General features: G+C 42.2%; 1 protein-coding gene across 17 annotated transcripts in view, besides 5 other annotated features; it reads right to left on the bottom strand.

Annotated features, from left to right (window-relative positions):
* The window catches only part of PPP1R12B (protein phosphatase 1 regulatory subunit 12B), a 244,004-nt gene extending 228,810 nt beyond the window's left edge, over positions 1–15,194 (bottom strand). For all 17 annotated transcript variants that reach the window (XR_001737195.2, XR_007060689.1, XR_007060690.1 and 14 more), the window contains exon 1: positions 14,751–15,194. Coding sequence is in view for 10 of the 17 variants with exons in the window: in NM_001331029.2 (NP_001317958.1) it covers positions 14,751–15,041 (291 nt within the window). In the remaining 7 variants the exon portion in view is untranslated. The remainder of the gene's footprint in view (positions 1–14,750) is intronic.
* Positions 1,169–1,910: an enhancer, noted in NCBI's record as "OCT4-NANOG hESC enhancer chr1:202331111-202331852 (GRCh37/hg19 assembly coordinates)". NCBI's record gives its function as "activates a minimal SCP1, AML or CMV promoter by ChIP-STARR-seq in naive H9 embryonic stem cells {active_cell/tissue: H9 hESC(naive)}" and the evidence as "EXISTENCE:reporter gene assay evidence [ECO:0000049][PMID:30033119]".
* Positions 1,911–2,653: an enhancer, noted in NCBI's record as "OCT4-NANOG hESC enhancer chr1:202330368-202331110 (GRCh37/hg19 assembly coordinates)". NCBI's record gives its function as "activates a minimal SCP1, AML or CMV promoter by ChIP-STARR-seq in naive H9 embryonic stem cells {active_cell/tissue: H9 hESC(naive)}" and the evidence as "EXISTENCE:reporter gene assay evidence [ECO:0000049][PMID:30033119]".
* Positions 4,056–5,007: an enhancer, noted in NCBI's record as "H3K27ac-H3K4me1 hESC enhancer chr1:202328014-202328965 (GRCh37/hg19 assembly coordinates)". NCBI's record gives its function as "activates a minimal SCP1, AML or CMV promoter by ChIP-STARR-seq in naive H9 embryonic stem cells {active_cell/tissue: H9 hESC(naive)}" and the evidence as "EXISTENCE:reporter gene assay evidence [ECO:0000049][PMID:30033119]".
* Positions 14,907–15,447: an enhancer, noted in NCBI's record as "H3K27ac hESC enhancer chr1:202317574-202318114 (GRCh37/hg19 assembly coordinates)". NCBI's record gives its function as "activates a minimal SCP1, AML or CMV promoter by ChIP-STARR-seq in primed H9 embryonic stem cells {active_cell/tissue: H9 hESC(primed)}" and the evidence as "EXISTENCE:reporter gene assay evidence [ECO:0000049][PMID:30033119]".
* Positions 14,926–15,235: an enhancer, noted in NCBI's record as "active region_2335". NCBI's record gives its function as "activates an Ori minimal core promoter by ATAC-STARR-seq in GM12878 lymphoblastoid cells {active_cell/tissue: GM12878}" and the evidence as "EXISTENCE:reporter gene assay evidence [ECO:0000049][PMID:35858748]".

Here is an 18,714-nt window from a genome sequence, read left to right as displayed (position 1 = left end):
GCTACTTGGGAGGCTGAGGCAGGAGAATCACTTGAACCCTAAGGCAGAGGCTGCAGTGAGCCAAGATCGCACCACTGCACTCCAGCCTGGGCAACAAACAGGAGACTCTGTCTCTAAATAAATAAATAGAATAAAATAAAATGGCACAGGTGGGTCAAATGGTGTCCTCTAATGTTCTTTTTGCTATAATATCCTGGAACTTCATAATCTTCTAATAAAACAAACGCATATCTGACAGTCCTGCAACTCTGTACTTTCAAGTGGTCCTATAATAGTCTTTCACCCTAGTGGTGGTCCCCAGAGCTGAAGACATTACAGTCTCTTCTCACAGAGCCAGGGGACCCAAAGGGAACTAGAAATTCCCAGGAGAGATAGACAAAACGATTAATGATTTGGAAACTAAATTAAAGAATGCACATGTTTATCCTTATTAGAGAAGGCTAATGACAAGGTCTTGATTATCTTAAAACATACAAAGGTAAATGTGTAGATAATGATCAATACCCTTTTCTCCACTTTTACTATGAACAGATTAATAGGAAATGGAATCAACATGAAGTACAAGCAATATAGACCAGAATAGATCTTTAAAATTATGAGTTTGTCAGTAACTGTGGGATGCCTGAGAGCAAGACACAGTTGTATGCCATGTTTGTATCCCAGTATACAACAGCATCTGGCATCCAGGAAGTGCTCAATACAAATGTGCCCCCCAAAATTAATAACAGATCATTTGACTGTTTAAAGATTCAAACTACAGGCTGGATATGGTGGCTCATGCCTGCAATCCCAGCACTTTGGGAGGCCAAGATGGGTGGATCACTTGAGTCCAGGAGTTCCAGACCAGCCTGATCAACATGGCGAAACCCCATCTCCAATAACAATACAATAATCAGCTGGGCATGATGGTGCATGCCTGTAGTCCCAGCTACTCAGGGGGCTGAGGCACAAGAATCACCTGAGCCCAGTAGGCAGAAGTTGCAGTGAGCCAAGATCGTGCCATTGCACTCCAGCCTGGGCAACAGAGGGAAACTCTGTCTCAAACATAAATAAATAAATAAATAAATAAACATTCAAACTACAGAAGTGCATTATAGAGACAGGACAGAACATTTATCTTGATATTAAGAAAAATGAAGATAATCTTCTTGCAATAATTTAGGTAATGAGCAGAAAAATTAAATTTATAATTTTAATTTTTCAAAGTTATTTCCTTATTACAAAAAAAAAAAACAAAAACCCTGGGCCTTGCTGATTCTGTCATGAACTGGCTATAGCACACACAGAGCTGAAGCAAGGCAGTCTCCACTCTCAACTGAAAACTGGTGCCAATGATAAAGATGTTGCCTGCTTTAAAAAATACCTGTTAAGCACTTAGAGTTCTAGCAGTCAAATTCTCCTAATACTAGCCCTGTACGGCAATTGTGAAGTTGGAATGGATGCGGCTCACCACTAGAGTCCTTGTGCTGTAGGAACTCTTCAACAGGTGAAATGATTCTTAACAGATGGAAGGAATCCTGGTCATCCTTCAGAATCACTTTCCATTACCCCTAGTGATTTATAATGAGGTGAGTTATTCTTTTGACCTCATTTTTCATGCTATCTACTGTCAAGGAGGAACAATTTAAACATGGGGAGGAAAATCAATACAAGAGGAATAATTACAAAACAGTGAAGCTGCATCCACAGGACCCAAACACAATCTGTTTTGGCATTTTAACGTCACATTTCATCGCTAGACCAACCAACTTTAAAAAAAATAAAAATCACTAACTAAAAAAAGAAACCTGGCAAAAATGTTGCCAAGAAGCAGGAAAAAAAAAAAAAGTAATCTGCCTCCCCTGAAATGCCCGCATATAAATAAAACAGTTCATAAAACCATACATCCCACTGTGAAATTCACATTCAATTAGAAGGGCCAATTTCTCTTAGGCCTCAAAGAGCACAACAAAAGCCAGCCAATCAACCCAATCTCCATATGAATGCCCCAATGTCACTTCCATTTTCTAAGACAAGCACATCATTTGCCCACAGTTGACTGCCCAAAACTGATGTAGCTAGAATGGACACTCTTCCTATCTCTTATAAAGCAGGTCTCTTTCTTCTCCTTGCACCGCCAAGTTACTATTTTTTTTTTAGTTTTCTTTGGAGCGTTCCCTTTGAAGTTTTCTTTCATAATGGACCTCAAGGGCTGGCAGTTGACTTAGGGAATAAGAAACCATATTACTGAACTGGAATTCTGAACAATATTTCAAAATAAGGGGAATGATATGGTTTGGATATTTGTGCCCTCCAAATTTCATGTTGAAATGTGATCCCCAATTTTGGAAGTGGGGCCTGGTGGGAAATGTGTGGATTACAAGGGCAGCTCCCTCATAAATGGCATGGTGTCCTTTCCATGGCAATGAGTGAGTTCTTCTCTTCACAGGAGATCTGATTGTTTAAAAGAGTATGGTACCTCCCACCTCTCTCTCTTTCTCCTGCTCTATGTGATGCACCTGCTTCCCCTTTGCCTTTTGCATGACTGTAAGCTTCCCGAGGCCCTCACCATGAGCAGATGCTGGCCTCATGCTTCCTGTATAGCCTGCAGTACTGTGAGCCAATTAAACCTCTTTTCTTTATAAATTACCTAGTCTCACGTATTCCTTTATAGCAACAAAAACAGACTAATATAGGGAACTTCAGTTAAGAGTTAATGGAGGCCGGGAGCGGTAGCTCACAACTGTAATCCCAACACTTTGGGAGGCCGAGGCGGGCGGATCACAAGGTCAGGAGATCGAGACCATTCTGGCTAACACGGTGAAACCTCGTCTCTACTAAAAAAATACAAAAAAATTAGCCAGGTGTGGTGGCGGGCACCTGTAGTCCCAGCTACTCAGGAGGCTGAGGCAGGAGAATGGCATGAACCCAGAAGGTGGAGCTTGCAGTGAGCCGAGATCGCGCCACTGTCTTCTAGCCTGGGTGACAGAGCAAGACTCCGTCTCAAAAAAAAAAAAAAAAGAGCTAATGGTAAAGATATGAAATGACAGTAGAAAAAGTTTACTCCACTGCCAATCACGGAAAATATTTACATACGAAGGGTACTACTAATCTCAACATTAGGCACCTTGTCAAGCCTTGCAACAGTCAATACACTAAACCTATGTTAACTATTTTATTCACAATTTACTTTTTTTTTTTTTTGAGACGGAGTTTCACTCTTGTTGCCCAGGCTGGAGTGCAATGGTGCAATCTCGGCTCACTGCAACCTCTACCTCCCAGGTACAAGCGATTCTCCTGCCTCAGCCTCCCAAGTAGCTGGGATTACAGGTGTCCACCACCAGCCCCAGCTAAATTTTTTATTTTTGGTAGAAACAGGGTTTCACCATGTTTGGCAGGCTGGTCTCGAACACCTGACCTCAGGTGATCCTCCCACCTCGGCCTCCCAAAGTGCTGTGATTACAGGTGTAAGCCACTGCACCCGGCCAATTTACATTTTTTAAGCTGATCACTGGTAACCCAATTAGAAGCGCAATACAAGGAGCTTCTTGTGATGTGATGATAATTAGAATAATTCACTAATTAATGGAATTCAGGTCTAGTCAAGACTGGCTTGAAACTTCAAAATTTTTGCAGGCCATCAATGGCCACTAAATCACAAAGAGAGATAACCTGACATTATTTGCCTTCTCATGGAAGTACATACCACCACTTATGATGTACTCTTACCAAAAAATTGGAATCTGAATCAGACCTAATCTCTAATTACTAGTTTATAGAAAACACGTGGGACAAAAGAACACCTTAACACCACAAGCAAGCAGTCAGAAAAATCTAGGTTGTAGAGAAACTCTAAAGTACAAACAACCCAGGTTTTCAACAAATAAGGTAAGAGAAAAAAAATGAGGAGGAAACCATAGATTAAAATACGTATCAATCAAAACAGACCTTATTTGAATCATGACTTGAATAAACCAACTGTTAAAACACACACACACACACCTGTGAACAATCAGGGAAACTTAAACACTACTAAAATATAATTTTAAGAAACAAGATTTTGACTTTTAGGTGTGCCAATGAAATTTGTTTTTGTTTTTGTTTTTGTTTGAGACAGAGTCTCACTCTGTCACCCAGGCTGGAGTGCAGTGGCGAGATCTCAGCTCACTGCAAGCTCCGCCTCCCGGATTCAAGTGATTCTCCTGCCTTAGCACCGCCCCCCACCCCCACCCCCCACCGCCAGTAGCTGGGATTACAGACACACGCCACCACGCCTGGCTAATTTTTCGTATTTTTAGTGGAGACAGGGTTTCACCATGTTGGCTAGGCTGGTCTCAAACTCCTGACCTCCGGTGATTCACCTGCCTTGGCCTCCCAGTGCTAGGATTATAGGCATGAGCCACCACGCCCAGCTGATTTTTTTTTAATTTAAATTTCTACGTTCTAGAGATATATATCGAAATATTTACAAATAAAATATAAGCTGGGCACGGTGGCTCATGACTGTAATCCCAAAACTTTGGGAGGCTGAGGCAGGTGGATCACCTGAGGTCAGGAGTTCATTTGAGACCAGCCTGGCCAACATGTGAAATCCTGTCTCTACTAAAAATACAAAATTAGCCGGGCGTGGGGGCACATGCCTCTAATCCCAGCTACTTGGGAGGCTGAGACACCCTGGGAGGTGGAGGTTGCAGTGGGCCAAGATCGCACCACTGCACTCCAGCCTGGGCAACAAGAGTGAAATTCCATCTCAAAAGAAAAAAAAAAATTATGTGATATCTAGGATTGGCTATAAAATAATCCAGTATACTGGAGATGAGGATCTATAAATGAAACAAGATTGGCCATAAGTTGATCACTTTTGAGAATTCATTATACCATTCTCTCTACTTTTGTATCTTCTATTTTGAAATATTCCATAATAAAATGCTTAAAAGAGAGTCACTAGACCAATAATTAATACAGAAAAACCAGATACATATATCATGCCAGATATATCATGAATATTTAGAGCATGGCACCATAAAATATTCCCCAAATTTGCATTAGATTAATATTCTAACAGATTATCACTGTGTCATAACATTTAAGTATACTAAATATAAAATCATCTCTAAATTTTTGTATAAACCTATTCCATAACTATAATGAAGTAGAATATTTCATTAAAAACCACATGCAAGTCAATTTCCAATACTGAAAACTCAAGTTTCAGTTTTTTTTTTTTTTTTTGAGACGGAGTCTCGCTCTGTCACCCAGGCTGGAGTGCAGTGGTGCCACCTTGGCTCACTGCAACCTCCACCTCCCGGGTTCAAGTGATTCTCCTGCCTCAGTCTCCCGAGTAGCTGGGACAACAGGCGCGTGCGACCACGCCCGGCTAATTTTTTGTATATTTAGTAGAGACAGGGTTTCACCGTGTTAGCCAGGATGGTCTCAATCTCCTGACCTCGTGATCTGCCTGCCTTGGCCTCCCAAAGTGCTGGGATTACAGGCGTGAGCCACCGCGCCTGGGCAAAGCTTCAGTTTTTCAATTGAATTGCCTCATGAAACAAACATAAACTCTGCATGCCTGATAAAACTTTAAGCCCCCAAATTTTACTCAAACTGGTTACAATCTAAGATCAGAAGAAACAATTTTTTTAAATGACACTTCAAAAGCAGGAAAAACCCCAACATATTCACAGACAAAAACAACATCAACAAATTGGGCAAGCACTCAATTAGCAATCCAAATGAGGCTTCAATTCCTTGTCCTATATGACATTCTGGGCCAAGGTCTTAATCTGGATTTATTATTACTATGTTGAACCATTAAAGATTTATTAGACATCCCAAACCTCCATATTTCACCATCTTAGAGAAGATATATATGTAATTCTCCTCCATAAGCATAAAATAGTCTCAAATACTGATAAATATAGTACTCCCCTGACACTCCTCAAGAGCCAGAATGCTAGAACAGAAATCGGTTATGTAGCCAATTTCCTATTATAAGTTATAATAGTAACCAACTATTCTGGAGACCAATCCCAAAATTCAAGTTAGTTTCTAAATTGTATCTACTGCTAAGTAAAAGTAACAAGCAGCACAGAATCAGATACACAGTAGACACTCAAGAAATAAATGTAAGAGAATGGCAGAAAAAACTGTTTATTGGTACTAACCTCCCTATCACTGTTCCCCCAAGGCTGCCTTCCAGTGGAAGTGCTAATGAGTGGGAAATGGGCCAAACTAGACTGAGAAGTAAAATAAACTAGATAAGCAGCCATCAGTAATAGGGACATAACTTTCTTGCCCCTATTATCAGGTTTAATATCCTAAAATATTCTTAACTGATGAATAATGAAACCACCTGAACTAGCCAGAATTCAGCTTTTAAAGTGTCTTGCCACATATTTTGGGCCCTCATTTAAATTACAATTATATTGATGGAAAATCTATATTTTTTCTCCCAAAAGTCAACAGAAAGACAAGTTATCCTTAATGCAAAAAAAAACTTCATATAACCTCCACAAAAGTCTTCAAAAATATCTCTACTGAAAGTGCTCTTTCAAAGTTTAAATGACCAAATCCAACAGTCTTTTTACAGGCCTTCTCCTCAATTTCCTTTTACATTATTTACCATCCATTCCTTGAAATACCTCAATATCACTGTTTGTCGGTTCTTCTCTGTATTAGTTTCCTATTGCTGCTATAACAAATTACCATAAACTTAGTTGCTTAAAACAACACAAATTTATTATCATAGCATTCTGGAGGTCAGAAGTCTGAATCATGGCCAGATGCAGTGGCTCACAACTGTAATCCCCAGTGGCTCACACCTGTAATCCTTGGGAGGCCAAGGCGGGTGGATCACCTGAAGTCAGGAGTTTGAGACCAGCCTGGCCAACAAGGCAAAACCACGTCTCTACTAAAAATACAAAAATTAGCTGGTTGTGGTGGTGGGCGCCTGTAATCCCAGCTAATAAGGAGGCTGAGGCAGGAGAATCGCTTGATCCCGGGCAGCGGAGGTTGTAGTGAGCCAAGATTGTGCCACTGCACTCCAGCCTAGGGGTCAAGAGCAAAATTCAGTCTCAAAAAAAAAAAAAAAAAGTCTGAAATCAGTCTCATTGGGCTGAGTTGTCAAATTGCTGGCAGGGCTGGTTCCTTATGTGGAGGCTCTGAGAGAAGAATCCACTTCCTTGCCTTTTTCAGCTTCTAGGGTCCACCTGCATTCCTTGGCTCACAGAACCTTCCTGGAATCCCTGCAATCTCTTGCTTCCTTCATCACATCTCCTATTCTGATTCTGCTCTCTTGCCTGTCTTATATGGATGCTTGTGATTATATTGGGCTCACCTGGATAATCCAGGCTAATCTCCTTATCTCAAGATCCTTAAATTAATCATATCCCCAAAGTCTCTTTTACCCTGTAAGGTAACATATTTACATGTTCTGGGGATTAGGACTTAGACATTTTTGGGGCACCATTAGTCAGCCTACCACATCTTCCAACAGCTCTAACTTGAATTTCTGCATTCTCTGCCTACCAGCTGCTTGTGTTTTCTGCTCTTCTCTGTATGTTTTCTCCCTTTCCTCTTTCACACTCATTACTTCAACTCTCACCTTTATGCTAAAATCAAGTCTCTTGTCTCAAATATGAGAAAACTGGAGCATAGATAGGAAAGTGACTAGCCTTGAGTCACATAGATACCTACAGGATATTTACTTACTTACTTACTTATTTATTTGAGACACAGTCTTGCTCTGCTCTGTCACCCAGGCTGGAGTGCAGTGGTGTGAACACAGCTCACTGCAGCTTCAACCTCCTGGGCTCAAGTGATCCTTCCACCTCAGCCTCCTATGTAACTGGGACCACATGTTTGCACCACCATACCTGGCTAATTTTTTTTTGGGTGGGGAGGGGGTTGGAGAGATAGGGTCTCACCACATTGCTCAGGCTGGTCTCAAACTCCTGGTCTCCAGCAATCCTCCCGCCTTGGCCTCCCAAAGTGCTGGGATTACAGATATGGGCCACCATGCTAAACACCTATAGGAGATTTCTATTTGTACGTCTTCAGAGTACCTCAGTCTAATCGTTGACTGAATACTATTTCTACCTGAATAACACAATTCTTTCAGACTCACAAGCTAGAATTGTACTACACTTTTTTCTCATCTCCATTCACTCAGCTGGTTCTCTCAACTCTGTCTCTCCATTCATTCAGAAATCCAAGTGCTGCTTCAGAATCCTAAAATACTGCTTTGGTTGGGTAACGACCCTGCTCAAACCCACAAAAATTCTCTACTAAGGAGTCCATCAAGCCACCTTGGCCTGATGTTTGATGTTCAAAGCCCTCTAGGATGTCACCCTGACTCTCTCTCATCTCTAACCCTTCAAACACATCCATTAGGATTTCCTAGCATCCTCTGCCTACACACCACACCCATTCCTATTTATTCGCCCATGCTGCTCTACCATCCTGGACTGCCTTCGTTTGTCCTTCCACTTAGGAATACATCCTTTCCAGGGTATCATAGAATTTGGAACTCTAAAAGGAATCTTTTTTTTATTTATCTGTTTCCAAACCTGACTGTTAGTTCCTTGAGGGCAGAAATTATACCACATATATACTCTAGTACAGACTTACAATCTACCATTTAGACATTCAATATTAGTTGTTAATTAAGAATCTAAGAAAACCTCTAAAGAGAAAAATATAGTGGAACACGGCCAGGCATGGTGGCTCACGCCTATAATCCCAGCACTTTGGGAGGCTGAGGCGGGTGGATTACCTGAGGTCAAGAGTTCAAGACCAGCCTGGCCAACATGGTGAAACCCCGTCTCTACTAAAAATACAAAAATTAGCTAGGATGGTCTCGATCTCCTGACCTCGTGATCCACCCGCCCAAAACCCCGTCTCTACTAAAAATACAAAAAAAATTAGCTGCGCATGGTGGCAGGCACCTGCGGTCCCAGCTACTCGGGAGGCTGAGGCAGGAGAATGGCGTGAACCCGGGAGGCAGAGCTTGCAGTGAGCTGAGATCACACCACTGCACTCCAGCCTGGGCGACGGAGCAAGACTCCGTCTCAAAAAAAAAAACAACAACAAAAAAAACAATTAGCCAGGCGTGGTGTCACCCCCCTGTAATCCCAGCTACTCAGGAGGCTACGGCAGGAGAATTGCTTGAGCCCGGGACGCAGAGGTTGCAGTGAGTCGAGATCGTGCACTGCACTCCAGCCTGGCTGACAGAGCGAGACTCTGTCTCAAAAAAAAAAAAGAATGGGACACATGTAATTAATGGCATATTATTCAAATATCAAAAACTTTACTCTAGGCCAGGCATGGTGGCTCTTGTTTGTTTATAGACACAGGGTGTCACTCTGTCATCCAGGCTGGAATGCAGTGGCACGATCATGGCTCACTGCAACTCCAGTTCCTGGACTCAAGCTATCCTCCCGCCTCAGCCTCCCAAGTAGCTGCAACTACAGACATGCACCAACATGCCTGGCTAATTTTATTTTTTTGTAAAGACAAGGTTTTGCTATGTTGCCCACGCTGGTCTCAAACTCCTGAGCTCAAGTGATCCTCCTGCCTCAGCCTCCATCTATTGTGATTATTGGGACAAAATAACTGATGAATGACTGTCATGGGCTGAGGGTGGGAGGAGCTGTCTACCAAGGAGCACAAAAAATCTTGAGGGTAACGTTCTACATCTTGATTACAGTGGTGGTTCCACAACTGTACGCATTTGTCAAAACTCATACGATGCTACACTACAAAGAGTGAATTTTATTGTATATAAAGTATATCTTAGTTTTAAAATATTTTAAAAGAAAAAAATAAACTACTTAGTTTTATGTTAACAACAAGACTGGTCCAACTCCTTACCTTTGGCAGAATTGTGCTTAATCCATATATATTGACAGGTTGCCTATTTCAAAATACTCACAGAGTAGAAGATTCTAAAAGCCCAAATGGTGATATACAGTTATTCAGCAGGAGTTGAAGAATTGGGGAGAGGCCAGGCATAGTGGCTCCTACTTGTAATCCGAGCACTTTGGGAGGCCGAGGGGGGAGGATTGTTTTAGCCCAGGAGTTCAAGATCAGCCCTGGCAACATAGTGAGACCCCCTTGTCTACAAAAAATTTTAAAAATTAGCTGGGTATGATGGGGTGTGCCTGTAGTCCCAGTTACTAAGGAGGCTGAGGTGGGGAGGATCACTTGAGCCTGAGAGGTTGCAGCTGCAGTGATCCATGGTCACACCACCACACTCCAGTCTGGGTAACAGGGCAAGACCCTGTCACACACACACACACACACACACACACACACACACACACACACAAAGAAGAAGAATAGGGAAGAAATTCTGCGGAACAAATGAAAGTCATTTTTATTTATACTTTCAAAAAAAAAAACCACACAGACAAAAAGCTGAATTTCCCAATATGGCTTTGAGGTCCAACATAGTCTGATGCAACATATTAAGCAATTTGAAGAGGTAAGCTACTAAAATGGCTCAGGATAGATGACTATTCTAGATGCACAATAATAAAGGAGCAAACAGGATTTTTCTGAATCCTATGTTGCCATGGGTCCTGACACTAAGCAGAATTCATCAATATTCAGGGTAAGGCAAAAGTAACTTCGCAGGTGGAACCAGGAGAGGAATGAGTAATAAATGTAGAATAAAAGAGAAAAGGTTAAAAGCACAAGTTTTATTTTACCATATGAGTTAGCACACAAAATATACTATTTTATATTGAACTGAACACACATTCATCTTACTCATCTTCTGTCTCTGTCTGAATATAAATTGCTCAGCCTATCCTCCTCCCCTCACTTGTTCCTATCTCCATCTCTCTTCCTGAGAAATACGTGATTTTAGCCTCCCTAAGTCTACAGCGTCAGACTGAGGCAACTCTAGAATGACAAAGGCTTATTCAACTACAAACTGAATTCCAGTCTGGTGTGACCTTGAGGGTCCAAATTTGGACCCTGCACATTACAAAGACAGTCTGAATTTCTTTTTTCTTTTTTTTTTGAAACGGAGTCTCACTCTTTTACCCAGGCTGGAGTGCAGTGGTGTGATCTCAGCTCACTGTAACCTCCACCTCCTGGGTTCAAGCGATTCTCCTGCCTCAGCCTCCCCGAGTAACTGGGACTACAGGTGTGCACCACCACACCAGGCTAATTTTTGTATTTTTAGTAGAGACGGGATTTTGCAATGTTGACCAGGCTGGTCTCGAACTCCTGACCTCGTGATCCACCTGCCTCAGCCTCCCAAAGTGGTGGGATTACAAGCGTGAGCCACCACCCCCGGCCGCCAGTGTGAATTTCTGAGTCAAGTATGGAATTATTCTAATCTCCTTGGTAGCCCTCCAGATGAAGACTGATCAGACCGTGCTAAGAGACAAGACCTATGGTGACTGAAATCCAGCATCCCTCACCACACTCAGCACAGATTTAAGAGTCAACATAATACATGCTGAAGTAAGTAAGCATTCATTTTAATAAATCCTAGAAAAATCTCTTTTCTGAAAGTAGGCACTTGCCTCTTCCCACAGCAATAATTTGGTAGATATCATGTATCTAGGCCTAGAGTACCTAAGATTATAATGCTAAGGATATCAAGATAGGTGCTAACAGTCAAACTTAATAAATAAATAAAAGAAAAAATTTAAAGTACTATTCCACATAGAATTATTAACAAATATTCCTGGCCTTACAATGTGTATACGCAAATGAAACAGAAATTCCTTTGTGAGCAAACAAGTGCTTTCAAGGGTTCTATAATCAGATTAATACCTTGTTAAGGACTCTAGGACAACACATGCATACACACCAAATCTTAATTTAGTCACTGAAATTTAGTCTGCATCAGTTTCCAAGGCTTTCATCAGAGTTGGTCTAACCTTTGAGATACTTCTTATCCCAGTCTAACTCAAGTATTATTAATAGGCCCCCTGGAGCTTGTTATCTTTGACTCAAGCACCTCGTGGTCTCAGCAAAGGCTGCCAAGAAAGAAGGTCTCTAAGTCCAAAAGAAGCATCAAGGCACCACAAGCTGCAGTGCAAATCATCTACTGTGACGTTGTAGGAGGAGAAAAATTGTCCCCCAGTATTATCTGGGGGCTTCTAACATGCCAAGACAATAATCCACAGTTGGTCAAGTGGCCATGGCCAAAAGAGAGAAAAGAAGCAATTATCCAGATAATTTATATCGTGCTTGTATAACAAATGGACATTTTAAATAAATAATTCAGATAATTGTACCACTCACTCTCCATTTCACAGAAGGTGAATCCATTGTAAAGTAGGTGGTTCAGCTACCAACAGCTCCAGTCTCCCATTTGAAAATAGTCTTTTATGTACCTTAGGAGTTCTCCAGGTCGGCCATGCGCGGTGGCTCATGCCTGTAATCCCAGCACTTTGGGAGGCCGAGGCAGGCAGATCATTTGAGGCCAAGAGTTTGAGACCAGCCTGGCCAACATGGCGAAACCCCATCCCTACTAAAAATACAAAAATTAGCTGGGCATGGTGGTGGGCACCTATAGTTCCAGCTACTTGGGAGGCTGATGCATGAGAATAGCTTGAACTTGGGAGACGGAGGTTGCATGCAGTGAGCTGAGACTGCACCACTGTACTCCAGCCTGGGAGATACAGTGAGACACTGTTTTTTTTTTTTTTAAACAACAACAACAACAACAACAACAACAAAAACTTCTCCAAGTCATGGAGACACACATTGTAACTCTTCGGAAACTGACTTGTAATGTTCTGAAGCCAATAAAGGCCCGTTGTCTTGATTCAAAGATACAGTTTCTCAACAGACCTCAAATCTTTAAGCAGCTTAATTTTTAGCTGAATTTGTCTAGAATCGAGTATACTTGTTCAGTTCAACTCCTTGTCAGCCCTATAAATGGAAAGGAATGCTTATATTGCATTTATAGATGTTAAAAAAAAATCCATAGCTGTCATCCCCTTCTTCTCTTATTTCAATAGATTACTAGGCCAGGCACAGCGGCTCATGCCTATAATCCCAGCAGTTTGGGAGGCCAAGGAGGGTGGATCTCCTGAGGTCAGGAGTTTGAGACCAGCCTGGTCATCATGGTGAAAGCCCATCTCTACTAAAAATACAAATATTATCTAGGCGTGGTGGCAGGCGCCTGTAATCCCAGCTACTCGGGAGGCTGAGGCAGGAGAATCGCTTGAAACCAAGAGGCAGAGGTTGCAGTGAGCCAAGATCTCGCCATTGCACTCCAGCCTGGGCAACAGAGCGAGACTCTGAATCAAAAAAAAAAAAAGAAAAAGAAAAAGAAAAACAAGAATTCACCTTCCCAAAGAGTTCAGAAATTTAAAGTTTAGAATTTAATGTGGTTCTCTTAGCTTTTATCTCATTTTACATTCAGCTCCTTATTAAGTGAGATAGAGATCTCTGTGACATAAGTCTGAAAAATCCATGCCTATGGGCCACTTCTTTACTTTCTAACTTTGCACAAATAATTTTCCTGAGCTTCAGTTTCCTCATCTGTAAAATGAGAATAACAACACTACCTGCCACACCTACTTCAAAGGATCACTGCTGAAACTCACATGGGGTAAGACATATGAAATCAAACAGCAAAGCACTCTACAAATATTGGTTACTACCTCAGGTGGGGAAATATTATCAGCAGGAAAAAAAAATGGGTACAAAATAGGGTGAAAGAGTTTCTTCTACCTGAAATAGAAGGGTTGCAAACATAGTGAGAAGTAACTTTTTAAGCTATTGGCTAAATATATTTAGGGAAGTGGTCTGATATAAAGTTGAGTTATTATTTAGAAGTAGATTCTCATGCCAATACATTCACTTTGCACAGACGGCAGAAGAAGAAAAATACAAAAGATTAAGAGTGGGTGTCCGGCTCTCAGCTCACCAAAATAACTGATGAAGTTCCATTTGAGGAGAGAGGGGTAGTTAGTCATGGCAGTCAGTAGACAGAGAATATTGCTGCATTAGGTGACAGAAGTAAAGGTGTCGTTACCAAGCACAGATTATCCACAATCCATATAGTATAGCTATACATGGGGCATGGGATTTCTATAGAGCACTTTAGAAAAAAAAATAGAAAAATAGAAAAGCTATTCCATAAGTATCAAACAGAGGTAATTCAGTAACTTAGTTCTCCATAGGAAGCTCTCAGGGAGGTAGCACTGCTGAGAAGGAAGTTAAGATACCTAAAACAACGAGGTCCAGCGTGTTCTAGGAGCTGTAGCCTAGAGGCAACACAAACTGTTTTGAAGTACTACAAATCAACAAAACAAGAGGTGTGGTTTCAGACCTGCTTGTCTTTACCCAGTAAAGGGCTTTACTCTTTAAGTGATATAAGATATTCTATAACGGGGACACACAACAACTGAATTTTCTGAAAGGGCATCAAACAAATGACACTGTGCCTATGAGTGACGCGGTGTGCAGGCACGCCAACCAGACATAAGTGAAGATAACTAATCTACAGGGATAAGACCAGGGACAAAAATCACCAGTAACCATGACAACACAAGTAGGTGGAGGGAAATACAAACACTGACCAAGCAGCGGGGTGACGCTATTCCTAAGACCCTGGGGTCAGAAAAAGACTTGATTAGTGGAGGAAGCTGGCCAAGAATGAAACCGATTAGCCCAAAAGGGCAGTGTCCATGCAGAAGGAGTCGGCGGCAACACTGATACTCCCCATGGGGTGGCTCGCAGGGTCAAAGGCTCATCTGTAGGAGACTGGACGCCTCTAAGACCAAGAAAGGAGTTACCTGGTGCAGGGCTGTCAAGCCGTCCACGTTGACCGTGTTGATATCAGCACCTCTTGCCAGAAGCTTTCTCACCTCGTCGGTGTCCCCGCTAGAGCAGGCGGCCAGAAAGACAGCACCGTCCTCGAAGCGGACCCTGGGGCTCCCGCGCCTGGTCAGCGGCTGCCGCCCCGCGCCTCGTCGCTCCGCAGGCTCCTGCTCTGTCAGCGAGCCCCGCCAGCGCCGAAGCTGCTCTGCCCGCCGCATTCGCGCCGACTCTGCCCGCTTCCCTCCTAGGTGCTCCAGTTCCGCCATTGCTCCGGCCTCGGCAGCTGCTGCCAAAACTACCAACACTAAATTACTGTTGGGGCTCGAGTTGCCGCTGCCGCCTCTCTCAGAGCGCTTCAGCCCGGAGCAGAGGGCGGAGACCCTCGCGCCGCCATCTTTACTCCTCCCGCCAGTAGTACCGCCCGCACGCTCCCTCGGCTTCAATACGCAGGCGCTGCCCGGCCTCGGGTCATCACGGGACTCGTAGTAAGAGGCCTGCCCTAAGTGCACTTGGTGGCCGTAAGGGAACTACAAATCCCTGGATGCATCAGAAAAAAGGCGAGGACCGGCGGCTCTCTCTTTCGCCACGGGACCCAGTGGGGTCACCTTTGCCCTAAAGCTGGAACTGTCTCCTGGACTGGCGTCAGCCTCTTCCTCTGGGCATTTTGGGAGTTGTAGTTTATTCTTGTTATGACTAGTAACTAATCTTATCTCCCTAATTATCACATCAATTCTTTGGAGTGGAAAAAAGGCGGTAATTATTCCTGTTTTCTGGAGGAGAGAACTAAACATTAAGTACCTAAACGACTGGATTCTATATCCTAGTTCTAAGTCTAGGGTTTTATTAACATGTGTATTAATCACGGTAAATGTGAATGAGCGTGGGGAAGAGGAGCATACATACAGATACAGTATTACATGTTTTACATAAATACTGTCAACTTACTCCAGGCCCAGAAAAGATCTTGAAAATGATGCATTCAGATGTAGTGAAAAGAGTTTAAGCTGTGAATTTAAATTGAATTCACAGCCGCAGACAAATTACTTGACTTCTCTTAGCCAGTTTTCTTATGTGTAAAATGGGAATAACATCTCACAGGGTAGTCATGTGGATCAAATGAAATAATACATGCAAGGATGCCTAATACTATCTTTGGCACATATTGGATCCCAATAAATAATTTCTCTTCCTTCTCCCTCCTCCTCCTCCTCTACTCTTTTCATATACCTTAAATTTTTACAAGACAGAATAGATGTCTTCCATGATTTTTATTTCTTTTCTTTTGAGACAGAGTCTCACTCTGTCACCCAGGCTGAGTGCAATGGCGCAATCACGGCTCACTGCAGACTCAACCTCCTGGGCTCAAGCGATCCTCCCACCTCAGTCTCCCCAGTAGCTAGGACTACAGGTGCCCACCACCACACCCACTATTTTTTTATTTTTTTGTAGAGACAAGGTCTCACCATGTTGCCCAGGCTGGTCTGGAACTCTTAGACACAAGCGATCCTCCTGCCTCAGCCTCCCAAAGTGTTGGTATTACAGCCCTGAGCCACTGTACCTGTCCCATGATTTTTTTTTTCAAAGCTAGAGAAAGATACTATCAAGCATACTAAATCATACTAAATTCCTAAGGTAGCAAATAGAACATTTTTATATTCACCAAGACTGGGTTATAAAACATGTATCTGTCCGATTGTTTTGTTTTGTTTTGTTTTGTTTGAGACAGGGTCTCGCTCTGTCACCCAGGCTGGAGGGCAGTGGCATGGTCGTGGATCACTGTAGCCTCAACCTCCCAGGCTGAAGCGATCCTCCCACCTCAGCCCCCCAAGTAGCTGGGACTACAGGCCTGTGTCACTATGCCTGGCTAACTTTTGTATTTTTTGTAGAGACAGGGTTTTGCCATGTTGCTCAGGCTAGTCTTGAGCTCCTGGGCTCAAGTGTTCCACCCACCTCAGTCTCCCAAAGTGTTGGTATTACAGGCATGAGCCACCGCATCCGGCCAGTCCGATTGATTTAATAAGTATAACCTCCAGTGCTCTAGCCCTGAACAAAATACAATTAAATGTGTTACCCATAATGAAAGAGTACATATGCAAATGTTAGATTCTTTAAACGTTTCTGTATGTTTAAAATTTTTCATTTAAAAAATGTTGCAAAATGATTGGGGTATTGTAAAGGGAAACTTTATTATATTCTGTCATGTGAAAATTTGCCTGTTCCTCAATTTCCCCTGAAATGAAGTGGAAATCATACATTAAGGAAACAATTAATTATTGAATTGAAAGCCTCAAATGAAAAGTGACATATAAATGTAAAAAATATTATGTTTAATAATACTGTGTCTAAACACCATATGCTTTAGTAGGATATTCTTAAATACATTATAAATACTAATTAAACCTCATGTCAAATCTGTGTACTATCAATAACAATGTACATAAGGAAAATCAAGGTATAATAATGTATACATTATGTAACCTCATTTTCCTTGCTACATGCATTTATTTATGGCCACCATAGAACTTGTCATGTCTCATCATTTATTGCAATTAAAAATTCTTGGCCAGACGCGATGGCTCACGCTTGTAATCCCAGCATTTTGGAAGGCCAAGGCGGGCAGATCACTTAAGGTCAGGAGTTCGAGACCACCCTAACATGGTGAAACCCCATCTCTATTAAAAATACAAAAATTAGCCAGGCACAGTGGCAGGTGCCTGTAATCCCAACTACTCAGGAGGCTGAGGCAGGAAAATCGCTTAAGCCTGGGAGGCAGAGGTTGCAGTGAGCCGAGATTATGCCACTGTACTCCAGCCTGGGTGACAGAGCAAGATTTTCTCAAAAAAAAAAAAAAAAATTATTCATGAGATTTACTTTGTAACATATCACAGTGGGACCTCCTCTTATTCCAATTCAGCCTCTTGCTGATAATTACTATTGCCCACAAGCTCCCAAATAGAACTCTCCCTAAAGGATAAAAGAAAAATTGATATTAAATCAAATAGGTAAGAATACTCAGCTAGAAGCCTAATCCTATTTACAGTCCTCATGCATCATTTCAATATTATGTTCCTCGTATATGATAGCTGCTCCTATATATATATATATATATATATAACTTTATGTTTTACTGGCATACTGGTCTTCTAATAAGGATTTTTAAACTGGAGTAAATTTTTCAGGGATCAATAATGATGCTTCTTTTGGCTGCATTATTTTTGTATTCCGAATTAGGAAGCAAAAAATATCTGGTTCCAGTTGTTTAAATAAGCTAAAATTGACCCACTCCAGGTTAAATCCTTACTTTCCCAAGAGATATGAACTTAAATTTCTTTCTTTCTTTTTTGGAGACAGAGTTACCCAGGGTAGAGTGCAATGGTGCCAACATAACTCACTGCAGGCTCAAACTCCTGGGCTCAAGCAATTCTCCTCCCTCTACCTCCTGAGTAGCTGGGACTATAGGCACATAAAATTATTTTATTTTATTTTATTTTTAAGTAGAGACGGGTCTTGCTATTTTGCCCAGGCTGGTCTTGAACTCCTGGCCTCAAGCAGTCCTCCCACCTCAGCCTCCCAAAGTACTGAGATTTTAGGTGTGAGCCACCATGCCCAGCCTGAGCTTAAATTTCAACACAAATTCAGTCTCTTTTTCTTTTTTTTTGAAACGGAGTCTCCAGGCTGGAGTGCAGTGGTGCGATCTCAGCTCACTGCAACCTCTGCCTCCTGGGTTCAAGCAATTCTCCTTGAGAAGCTGGGACTATAGGCACCCACCACCACGCCCGGCTAATTTTTGTATTTTTAGTAGAGATAGGGCTTCACCATATTGGCCAGGTTGGTCTCGAACTCCTGACCTTGTGATCAACCCACCTTGGCCTCCCAAAGTGCTGGGATTACAGGCGTGATCCACCGCGCCCAGCCAAGAATTCAGTCTCAATATAAGGA

This window comes from Homo sapiens, chromosome 1 (genome assembly GCF_000001405.40).
Source record: "Homo sapiens chromosome 1, GRCh38.p14 Primary Assembly".
Classification (NCBI taxonomy): domain Eukaryota; kingdom Metazoa; phylum Chordata; class Mammalia; order Primates; family Hominidae; genus Homo; species Homo sapiens.
The sequence above is the reverse complement of the archived record's forward strand: the minus strand, read 5'-3'. Positions and strand labels throughout refer to the sequence as shown.